Source organism: Homo sapiens, chromosome 7 (genome assembly GCF_000001405.40).
Source record: "Homo sapiens chromosome 7, GRCh38.p14 Primary Assembly".
Lineage (NCBI taxonomy): Eukaryota > Metazoa > Chordata > Mammalia > Primates > Hominidae > Homo > Homo sapiens.
In genome coordinates this window covers 26,016,125-26,028,732 of record NC_000007.14, presented here as the reverse complement: position 1 = coordinate 26,028,732, position 12,608 = coordinate 26,016,125, and the positions used below count along the sequence as shown (strand labels likewise).

The following is a 12,608-nucleotide window of genomic DNA, read 5'->3' as shown; positions in this document are numbered from 1 at the left end:
GCGGCAAGTCCTGCTTTTCTAGGGGGCAAGAACCCCCAAACCACTTCCCTCCGTGTCTCTACGCTCTCTGTTCTCTGGGCTTGCCTCCTTCACTATGGGCAAGCTTCCACCTTCCATTCCTCCTTCTTCTCCCTTAGCCTGTGTTCTTAAGAACTTAAAACCTCTTCAACTCTCACCTGACCTAAAATCTAAGCATCTTATTTTCTTCTGCAATGCCGCTTGACCCCAATACAAACTCGACAGTAGTTCCAAATAGCCAGAAAACAGCACTTTCAATTTTTCTGTCCTACAAGATCTAAATAATTCCTGTCGTAAAATGGGCAAATTGTCTGAGGTGCCTGACGTCCAGGCATTCTTTTACACATCAGTCCATTCCTAGTCTCTGTGCCCAATGCAACTCGTCCCAAATCTCCCGCCTGTCCCCTCAGTCCCAACGCCAAGCATCGCTGAGTCTTTCTAATCTTCCTTTTCTACAGACCCATCTGACCTCTCCCCTCCTAGCCAGGCCAAGCTAGGTCCCAATTCTTCCTCAGCCTCCACTCCTCCACCCTATAATCTTTTTATCGCTTCCCCTCCTCACACCTGGTCGGGCTTACAGTTTCATTCCGTGACTAGCCCTCCCCCACCTGCCCAGCAATTTATTCTTAAAAAGGTGGCTGGAGCTAAAGGCATAGTCAAGGTTAATGCTCCTTTTTATTTATCCCAAATCAGATAGCGTTTAGGCTTTTTCATCAAATATAAAAACCCTGCCCAGTTCATGGCTCGTTCGGCAGCAACCCTGAGACTCTTTACAGCCCTAGACCCTGAAAGGTCAAAAGGCCATCTTATTCTCAATATACATTGTATTACCCAATCTGCTCCCGACATTAAATAAAACTCCAAAAATTAAATTCTGGCCCTCAAACCCCACAACAGGATTTAATTAACCTCGCCTTCAAGGTGTACAATAATAGAAAAAAGTTGCAATTCCTTGCCTCCACTGTGAGACAAACCCCAGCCACATCTCCAGCACACAAGAACTTCCAAACGCCTGAACCACAGCAGCCAGGCTTCCTCCAGAACCTCCTCCCCCAGGAGCTTGCTACAAGTGCCAGAAATCTGACCACCAGGCCAAGGAATGCCTGCAGCCCAGGATTCCTCCTAAGCCATGTCCCATCTGTGCGGGACCCCACTGGAAACTGGACTGTTCAACTCACCTGGCAGCCACTCCCAGAGCCCCTGGAACTCTGGCCCAAGGCTCTCTGACTGACTCCTTCTCGGCTTAGCGGCTGAAGACTGATGCTGCCCGATCGCCTCGGAAGCCCCGTAGACCATCACGGACACCGAGCTTTGGGTAACTCTCACAGTGGAAGGTAAGTCCGTCCCCTTCTTAATCAATATGGAGGCTACCCACTCCACATTACCTTCTTTTCAAGGGCCCGTTTCCGTTGCCTCCATAACTGTTGTGGGTATTGACGGCCAGGCTTCTAAACCTCTTAAAACTCCCCAACTCTGGTGCCAACTTAGACAATACTCTTTTAAGCACTCCTTTTTAGTTATCCCCACCTGCCCAGTTCCCTTATTAGGCTGAGACACTTTAACTAAATTATCTGCTTCCCTGACTATTCCTGGACTACAGCTACATCTCATTGCCGCCCTTCTTCCCAATCCAAAGCCTCCTTTGTGTCCTCCTCTTATATCCCCCTACCTTAACCCACAAGTATAAGATACCTCTACTCCCTCCTTGGCGACCGATCATGCACCCCTTACCATCTCATTAAAACCTAATCACCCTTACCCCGCTCAATGTCAAGATCCCATCCCACAGCACGCTTTAAAAGGATTAAAGCCTGTTATCACTCGCCTGCTACAGCATGACCTTTTAAAGCCTATAAACTCTCCTTACCATTCCCCTGTTTTACCTGTCCTAAAACCAGACAAGGCTTACAAGTTAGTTCAGAATCTGCGCCTTATCAACCAAATTGTTTTGCCTATCCAACTCGTGGTGCCAAATCCATATACTCTCCTATCCTCAATACCTCTCTCTACTACCCATTATTCTGTTCTAGATCTCAAACATGCTTTCTTTACTATTCCTTTGCACGCTTCATCCCAGCCTCTCTTTGCTTTCACTTAGACTGACCCTGACACCCATCAAGCTCAGCAAATTACCTTGGCTGTACTGCCGCAAGGCTTCACAGACAGCCCCCATTACTTCAGTCAAGCCCAAATTTCACCCTCATCTGTTACCTATCTCGGCCAAATTCTCATAAAAACACACGTGCTTTCCCTGCTGATCGTGTCTGATTAATCTCCCAAACCTCAATCCCTTTCAAAACAACAACTCCTTTCCTTCCTAGGCATGGTTAGTGCGGTCAGAATTCTTACACAAGAGCCAGGACCGCACCCTGTAGCCTTTCTGTCCAAACAACTTGACCTTACTGTTTTAGCCTAGCCCTCATGTCTGCGTGCAGCGGCTGCCGCTGCTTTAATACTTTTAGAGGCCCTCAAAATCACAAACTATGCTCAACTCACTCTCTACATTTCTCATAACTTCCAAAATCTATTTTCTTCCTCATACCTGATGCATATACTTTCTGCTTCCCGGCTCCTTCAGCTGTACTCACTCTTTAAGTCCCACAATTACCATTGTTTCTGGCCCGGACTTCAATCCGGCCTCCCACATTATTCCTGATACCACACCTGACACCCATGACTGTATCTCTCTGATCCACCTGATATTCACCCCATTTCCCCATATTTCCCTCTTTCCTGTTCCTCACCCTGATCACGCTTGATTTATTGATGGCAGTTCCACCAGGCCTAATCGCCGCATACCAGCAAAGGCAGGTTATGCTATAGTACAAGCCACTAGCCCACCTCTCAGAACCTCTCATTTCCTTTCCATCGTGGAAACCTGTCCTCAAGGAAATAACTTCTCAGTGTTCCATCTGCTATTCTACTACTCCTCAGGGATTATTCAGGCCCCCTCCCTTCCCTACACATCAAGTTCGAGGATTTGCCCCTACCCAGGACTGGCAAATTAGCTTTACTCAACGTGCCTGAGTCAGGAAACTAAAATACCTCTTAGTCCAAATAGACACTTTCACTGAATAAGTAAAGGTCTTTCCTACAGGGTCTGAGAAGGCCACCGCAGTCATTTCTTTCCTTCTGTCAGACATAATTCCTCAGTTTAGCCTTCCCACCTCTATACAGTCTGATAACGGACCAGCCTTTATTAGTCAAATCAGCCAAGCAGTTTTTCAGGCTCTTAGTAGGTTTCAGTGAAAACTTTATATCCCTTACGGTCCTCCGTCTTCAAGAAAAGTAGAACGGACTAAAGATCTTTTAAAAACACAGCTCACCAAGCTCAGCCACCAACTTAAAAGGACTGACAATACTTTTACCACTTTTGCTTCTCAGAATTCAGGCCTGTCCTCAATGCTACAAGGTACAGCCCATTTAAGCTCCTGTATAGACGCTCCTTTTTATTAGGCCCCAGTCTCATTTGACACCAGACCAACTTAGACTGTGCCCCAAAAAAACTTGTCATCCCTACTATCTTTTGTCCAGTCATACTCCTATTCACCGTTCTCAACTACTCATACATGCCCTGCTCTTGTTTACACTGCCGGTTTACACTGTTTCTCCAAGCCATCACAGCTGATATCTCCTGGTGCTATCCCCAAACTGCCACTCTAAACTCTTGAAGTAAATAAATAATCTTTGCTGGCAGGACTATGCTGAATCTCCTTAGGCACTCTCTAATCAGATGTCCTAGGTCCTCCCAATTCTTAGACCTTTTATACCTGTTTTTCTCCTTCTCTTATTCCATTTAGTTTCTCAATTCATCCAAAACCGTATCCAGGCCATCACCAATCATTCTATACAACAAATGTTTCTTCTTACATCCCCACAATATCACCCTTTACCACAAGACCTCCCTTCAGCTTAATCTCTCCCACTCTAGGTTCCCACGCCGCCCCTAATCCTGCTTGAAGCAGCCCTAAGAAACATTGCCCATTCTCTCTCCATACCACCCCCACAAAAATTTTCGCCGCCCCAACACTTCAACACTATTTTGTTTTGTCTTATTAATATAAGAAGGCAGGAATGTCAGGCCTCTGAGCCCAGGCCAGGCCATCGCATCCCCTGTGACTTGCACGTATACATCCAGATGGCCTAAAGTAACTGAAGATCCACAAAAGAAGTAAAAACAGCCTTAACTGATGACATTCCACCGTGTGATTTGTTCCTGCCCCACCCTAACTGATCAATGTACTTTGTAATCTCCCCCACCCTTAAGAAGGTTCTTTGTAATTCTCCCCACCCTTGAGAATGTACTTTGTGAGATCCACCCCTGCCCACCAGAGAACAACCCCCTTTGACTGTAATTTTCCATTACCTTCCCAAATCCTATAAAACGGCCCCACCCATATCTCCCTTCGCTGACTCTCTTTTCGGACTCAGCCCACCTGCACCCAGGTGAAATAAACAGCCATGTTGCTCACACAAAGCCTGTTTGGTGGTCTCTTCACACGGACATGTATGAAAGTTGGCATGGATGTGGTGAACAGGGAACACTTCTGCACTGCTGGTGGGAATGTAAACTAGTACAACCACCATGGAAAACAGTGTGGAGATTCCTTAAAGAACTAAGAGTAGAACTACCATTTGATCCAGCAATCCCACTACTGAGTATCTACCCAGAGGAAAAGAAGTCATTATTTGAAAAAGACACTTGCACATGCATGTTTATAGCAGCACAATTCACAATTGCAAAATCTTGGTACCAATCCAAATGCCCATCAATCAATGAGTGGATAAACCATGGTATATATATACCATGGAACACTATGCAGCCATAAAAAGGAATGAAGTAACAGCATTTGCAGTGACCTGGTTGAGATTGGAGACTATTATTCTAAGTGAAGTAACTCCGGAATGGAAAACCAAACATCGTATGTTCTCACTGATATGTGGGAGCTAAGCTACTAGGACACAAAGGCATAAGAATGATACAATGGACTTTGGGGACTTGGGGGCAAGTGTGGGAGGGGGGCGAGGGATAAAAGACTACAAATATGGTGCAGTATATACTGCTTAGGTGATGGGTGCACCAAAATCTCACAAATCGCCACTAATGAACTTACTCATGTAACCAAATACCACCTGTACCCCAATAACTTATGGAAAAAAAGTAACTTTCTCAAGGTCAAAAAAATAAAATATAATATAAAATTCTAAAAAAAAGAGAACTAATTGATTGGTTTTTTTCAAAGGAAAAGGTAAATCTAGTTTTGGCATTCACTATTTTCTAACTATTTTATGTTTAAAAAAAGAAAGTATAATTTCAGGCTTATGCCATATGCTTAATCACATATGGCATGTGATTAAGACTTATTTTACACCTTTTCTTAGGCCATATTTCCATACATTTATTATTTGTTCTGGGTGCTTTAAGAAATGGCAACCCACGTAGTTACATTTCTCAATCCCATACTTAGGACAAAGTATATAATAGTCTTGGGATGTGGTTTCAATTAGCATAGCAAACCTCGTACATACTTTCTTCCTGGCATCCAGATTAAAGAAGCCGTTTTCACTTTCTAGCCCAGTTTTTATTTCTGCTTTCTCTTTTTCTCCCTAAAAAATCTATGGTATCCACAGTATGTTGGTAGGTTTAAAAAATAAGTCACCAAAGAGAATCTACATTATTACTCAATTTTTTATAGATTAAAAAGCAGTATAGATGTATATCCTATATGTTTTTATATGAAAAGGTGAATCTGTAACCATGGGATGGAGAAAGACTATGTATTTTGATATTGTTTGGATTTTTTTTTTTTAATGAACAGGCAAGTAAAAACTAAAAAAGCCTTCCTTGAGAGAGTAGGTTTTCCATGGCACAAGGAACAAAAGCTGTTGGATGCTGAAAGCCACGTGCTCTGCTGAGAGGAACCTGAAGAAACTGTGCTTTTCTGTTTACTGTCCTGGAAACTAGTCATTAACATGAAAACAGATCTCAGGCTTGTTTTTAAAATGCGTAGAGAGGCTAGGCATAGTGGCTCACGCCTGTAATCTCAGCACTTTGGGGGGCTGAGGTGGGTGGATCACTTGAGGCCAGGAGTTTGACACCAGCTTGGCCAACATGGTGAAACCCTGTCTCTACTAAGAAAAAAAAAGAAAACATTAGCTGGGTGTGGTGGCACATGCCTGTAATCCCAGCTACTCAGGAGGTTGAGGCACAAGAATCATTTGAATCGGGAGGTGGAAGTTGCAGTGAGCTGAGATTGCATCACTGCACTCCAGCCTACGCGACAGAGTGAGCCTCTGTCTCAAAATAAAATTAAAATAAAATAAAATAAAATAAAACAAAATAAAATGTGTAGAGAAAGACTGGAAGTAAATGCAAATACAGGACCAACCGTGGTTGTCATTGTGTGGTAGGATTGCGGACGATTTTTTTGTGTATTTTGCTTTTATTTTTATTCTCTACTGTATTAAAAAACATCCATCTGGGTGCATGTTGTTGACCAAAGACAGAAATATTTTTACTCTGTGTCCCTGCTCTTCAGGCTTGTAGAGGCTTCTGGGCCTGAGGAATGCCCTCTCCTGCCTGAGTGGAGATGGGGGTGTTCATGGACTTTCCACACTTTTCTTTGGGTATTCCCCCCTCCCCAACATGAGCAGACACAGCCTTAAAGCCTCTAGAGATATGGAAGCCTTGCAGGCTGATGAGGGGCTTCCTAAACTGGAGAGGATTTATTAATAGGAAAGAGCTAACCTGAGGCATACACCCCTCCCTTTTGGCTCCACAGAATTTTCCCAAAGGGGTCATGTAGAAAGAAGCCAGGTGGGAAGGACTGATGAAGATGCTTCTTGAAATAGTGGGACGCAAATGCTAGAAGTGTCTATTGTTCAGTCTCTCCAATTCCACAGGAGAAGTACCATTGGCAAGCTGGTTCATTGCCAGGGTTCTGAGCTTAGTGCCTCTGGCAGGATAGACTCTGGGTTTGATATGGAAATTGCCAAAGCAGAAGCTATGATAGTGGTTCACAAAACCTGATGTGCCTCAGAATCACCTGGGCAGCTTCCCTGGTCCTACCTACAGTCTGATTCAGCAGTTTGTCCTGTGGGCTTAGGAATCTGAATTGCAATAAATACCCCTATGCTGTTTTCGAAGAGTAATTCTCTGACACCAGTGCTATTCTGACACTAACTATCTGGAGTTAGCATCAGACTCCACAGGTTGAAGGGCTCCAGCCCATACAACTGTCCTCACTTCAGATGCCAGCCACAAGTCTCAGCACCCCAGGCTACCTGGGCTTCTGCTTAACTTGGCTACAAATTCAAAGTTTCCTCAGGCCCCCCAGCCTGCTCAGGTGTGACAATTTACTAGAATGATTCAAAGAACTCAGGAAAACCCTATACTTATAATTGCTGCCTTATTACAAAGGGTATAATTTAGGAACAGCCAAATAGAAGAGATCTGCAGGGCTAGGAAGGGGTGGGGGCACAGGGCTTCCGTGCCCTCTCTGTTGCATCCCTCTCAAGGCCTATCAATGTGTTCACCAAACTAGAAGTTCCCCCAACCTCATCATTTAAGAGTTTTCATTTTGTAGGCATGATCTCCAGTCCCTCTCCCTTTCCTGGAAGTTGGGAGTTGGGGCTGAAAGTTCTAACCCGCTAATCACATGCCTGGTCTTTCTGTTGCGGCCAGCCTTTCCCATAAAACTATGGGCCCACTGTCTCAGTCCATTTGTGCTGCTATAACCAAGTACCTCAGGCTGTGTAATTTATAAATAATAGAGTTTTTTTTTTTTTTGAGACAGAGTTTCGCTCTTGTTGCCCAAGCTGGAGTGCAATGGTGTGATCTCAGCTCACTGCAACCTCTGCCTCCCGGGTTCAAGCGATTCTCCTGCCTCAGCCTCCTCAGTAGCTGGGATTAGAGGCACCCGCCACCATGCCTGGCTAATTTTTGTATTTTTAGTAGACACAGGGTTTCACCATATTGGCCAGGCTGGTCTCGAACTCCTGACCTCAGGTGATCCACCCACCTCGGCCTCCCAGTAGAAATTTTTTTTTTTTTTTTTTTGAGATGGAGTCTCGCTTTGTCGTACAGGCTGGAGTGCAGTGGCGCAGTCTCAGCTCACTGCAACCTCTGCCTCCCAGGTTCACGCCATTCTCCTGCCTCAGCCTCCCAAGTAGCTGGGACTACAGGTGCCTGCCATCACACCTGGCTAATTTTTTGTATTTTTAGTAGAGACGGGGTTTCACCGTGTTAGCCAGGATGGTCTCAATCTCCTGACCTCGTGATCCGCCTGCCTCGGCCTCCCAAAGTGCTGGGATTATAGGTGTGAGCCACCATGCCCGGTCGAAATTAATTTTTTTATAATTCTGGAGGTTGGAAAGTCTAAGATCAAGGTGCTGGCAGATTCAGTGTGTGATGAGGGCTGTGCTCTGCAGATAATGCCTTGTAGCTGCATCCTCCAGAGGGGACCAACACTGTGTCCTCACATGGCAGAAGGTAGAAGGGCAAAAGGCCTAGCTGGTTCCCTTGAGCTCTTTCACACAGGTGCCCATCCCATTCACGAGGGTGGAATCCACATGATTTAATTGCCTCCTAGACCCTCCACCTCTTTTTTAATTTAATTTAATTAATTAATTTATTTTTTGAGATGGAGTCTCGCTCTGTTGCCCAGCCTGGAGTGTAGTGGCGCAATCTCGGCTCACTGCAACCTCCGCCTCCCGGGTTCAAGTGATTCTCCTGCCTCAGCCTCCTGAGTAGCTGGGATTACAAGCGCCTGCCACCACGACTGGCTAATTTTTGTATTTTTAGTAGAGACAGGGTTTCACTATATTGGCCAGGCTGGTCTTGAACTCCTGACCTTAGGTGACCTGCCTGCCTCAGCCTCCCAAAGTGCTGGGATTACAGGCGTGAGCCACCACGCCCGGCTTGCCCCCACCCCTTAATACTATCATGTCAAGTCTTAGATTCCAACATATGAATTTTGGAAAGACACATACGTCCAAACCATAAGAGTCACCTTATTAGCATAAACTCACATATGGCTTGAAAGGAGCTCCTTATGTATAAAAAAGATGCTCCTATCACTCACGGTATTTCAAGAGTCTTAGGAGCTTTGTGCTGGGAACCAGAGACAAAGACCAAATATATTTTTTGTTATACCACAACCCACAGGTGATCCTGATGCTCATGGCCATGCATTGAGAACAACTGTGTAAGAAGATATGGATAATGCTTGAAAACTACTAGTATTAGCACCATTTTGGTGAGTAAAGAATTCTATTTTTGATGTAGACTGTTCCCTGCACTCAGCAGGGTACCTGAGAGAAGAACATTATAGTTCAGGGAACAGTCTAAATCTTCCCCTTCAGGAAAACCCTTCAAGATAGAGTTGTAGCTCATCTCCCAGTCCCCATCAAGCCCCCTCTTCTCGGTGTTCCACGGTGCATTCTCATTTGAGGAATTCTCTTTGACTCTTTGCATAATGTTTGTGCTGCTCCTCAACTCTTGTGTGTGCCTGTTTCATCTTCCCAGATGCCTAAGGACCCTGCCTTGTATTTCTGTAATGAAAGATTACAGACGCAAGATTTATTATCTTTACAGCATATACTCCAAGGAAGATCTCAATAAATGCTTAATGGAAATAAGTAAAGGTATGAATGCTGGACCTAATACAGGAGGAAGACCCAGGTGATTTGTGTACAATTTGGACACAAGCTCTTGCCAACCACCTGAGAGATTCCAACAATGAGATGAGATTCCTTACCTTGAACCAGATAATTTGGAATGAATGTCTAGGCAGAACTTCTGCTTCAGAATGACCACAATTAACTACCAGACAACCAACTTTGGGGACATATCAGTAGGTACGATAACAGGGGAATGAGCCCTAGACTTAAAATCAGAGGATCTCAGTTTGCATCCTGGCTCTGTGCCTTGCTAATTGAGATGCTTGGGGTAAGTTGCTTGCTTGATGGTTTTATGCACTTAGCCATTCATTCAATGCCTTTCACTGAGAAACTACTGTGTGCCTAGTACTGTGCCGTACGTTTTACACATTATCTCACTTAATTAATACAACACCTCTAGTAGATAATCATCTTCCCTATACATAATTTTAGAGAGGAAGAAAAATCACATGTTGGGGCTCTCCTAGCAATTGTACACTTAAGTCTCCAGACTTTATTTCCAGGGTCCTGACCTTTAATTCCTGGGGCACAGTTATTATTAATTTTCCTGCATGACCTCTGAGACCTCATGGGCCCATAAAGGGAATCAAGCTTGGATGAAATTTTAGAGTTGGAAAGAACATGAGAGATGGTCTAATTCACCTGCATTCAAATGAAGATTCAGAGTCAAGATCCCAAATTAGAAAATGGGAGGTGACATTTCCAGAATAACTCCTTCCCTCACTCTGGGGCTCTCCAGCTTTGGCTTCTCCTGGGTCAACAGGTGGTCCGTCAGAGAGGCAACATTCATGGTGAGTGGTGTCCGATCCAAGATGTCTGCAGAGGCTGGCCATCCTGAAGTGTTCATTTAGATACTAAGGACCGATGGTCCCTGCCTCTTGCCTTCATCTGAACCTGACACTCCAAATCGATGCCTAACGGATCTTTCCATTTTTACATCAGACTAACCAATTAAAAACAACCAAACAAACCTATGTGTACTGGTGGGAGGGAAGGGGAATGGAAAGTACTATGCATTTGTTAGAAGAAACCCTCAAATGTAACTGAACTGGATGAAAGTTATGAAGTTCTCTATGCACACAAACTAGAAAACCTAGAAGAAATGGATAAATTTCTGGACACATACACTTTTTCAAGTCTGAACCAGGAAGAAATTGATTCCCTGAACAGACCAATAATGGTCTCTCTAGTTGAATTAGTAATAAATACCCTACCAACCAAAAAAGCCCAGGACCAGATAGATTCACAGCCAAATTCTACCAAATGTACAGAGAAGAGACGGTACAATTCCTACTGAAACCATTCCAAAAAATTGATGAGGAGGGACTCCTCCCCAGCTCATTCTTTTTTTTTTTTTTTTTGAGATGGAATCTTACTCTGTCACCAGGCTGGAGTGCAGTGGCACGATCTCAGCTCACTGCAACCTCCACCTCCCGGGTTCAAGCGATTCTCCTGCCTCAGCCTCCCAAGTAGCTGGGACTACAGGTGCACACCACCACACCCAGCTAATTTTTATATTTTTAGTAGAGACAGGGTTTCACCATGTTGGCCAGGATGGTCTTGATCTCTTGACCTCGTGATCCACCCGCCTCAGCCTCCCAAAGTGCTGGGATTACAGGCGTGAGCCACCGTGCCTGGCCCTCTCCACCTCACTCTATGAGGCCAGCATCATCCTGATACCAAAACCTGGCAGAGACCCAACAAAAACAGAAAACTTCAGGCCAATATCCTTGATGAACATCATTGCAAAAATCTTCAACAAAATACTTGGAAACCAAATCCAGTATCACATCAAAAAGCTAATCCACCATGGTCAGATAGACATCATTGTGAGTATGCAAGGTTAGCTTAACATACACAAATCAATAAATGTGATTAATCACATAAACAGAACTAAAGACAAAAACCACATGATTATCTCAATAGATGCAGAAAAAAGCTTTTGATACAATTCAACACCACTTCATGTTAAAGACTCTCAATAGCTAGGTATTGAAGGAACATACCTCAAAATAATAGGAGCCATATGTAACAAACCCACAGCCAGCAGCATAATGAATGGGTAAAAGCTCAAGCATTCCCCTTGAAAACTGGCACAAAACAATGATGCCCTCTCTTACCACTCCTATTCAACACAGTATTGGAAGTCCTAGCCAGAGTAATCAGGCAAGAGAGAGAAATAAAGGGCATCCAATAGGAAGAGAGGAAGTCAATGTATCCCTGTTTGCAGATGACATGATTCTACATCTAAAAAACTCCACAGTCTTGTCCCAAAAGCTTCTTAAGCTGATAAACAACTTTAGCAAAGTTTCAGGATACAAAATCAATGTACAAAAATCACTTGCATTCCTATACACCAATAACAGCCAAGCCAAGAGCCAAATGAGGAAGGCAATCCCATTCACAATTGCCACATGAAGAATAAAACACCTAGTAATACAGCTAACCAAGGATGTGAAAGATCTCTACAATGAGAACTACAAAACACTGTTCAAAGAAATCAGTGAAGACACAAACTAATAGAAAAACATTCCATGCTCATGGATAGGAAGAATCAATATCATTAAAATGGCCATACTGCCCAAAGCAATTTACAGATTCAATGCTATTCGTATCAAATTATCAATGACATTCTTTACAGAATTAGAAAAAACTATTTTAAAATTCATGTGGAACCAAAAAAGAGCCCAAAATGCTAAGGCAATTCTGAGCAAAAAGAGCAAAGCTGGAGATATCACACTCTCTGACTTCAAACTATACTCCAGGGCTACAATAACTCAAACAGCATGGCACTGAAACAGACACATAGACCAATGAAACAGAATAGACAGCCCAGAAATAAGGCCGCACACCTACAACAATCTGATCTTTGACAAAGCTGACAAAAGCAATGGAGAAAAGACTACCTA

General features: G+C 43.9%; 1 long non-coding RNA gene across 7 annotated transcripts in view; it reads left to right on the top strand.

The window, feature by feature from the left end:
• LOC105375199 (uncharacterized) overlaps positions 1 to 12,608 on the top strand; it is a 191,528-nt gene that overhangs the window by 102,057 nt on the left and 76,863 nt on the right. For 6 of the 7 annotated variants that reach the window (XR_927114.3, XR_927113.3, XR_927117.3 and 3 more), the window contains 2 exons: positions 9,185 to 9,275; positions 9,614 to 9,876. This is a non-coding gene — a long non-coding RNA (uncharacterized LOC105375199). The remainder of the gene's footprint in view (positions 1 to 9,184; positions 9,276 to 9,613; positions 9,877 to 12,608) is intronic. The other variant, XR_927122.3, reaches the window with a different exon arrangement.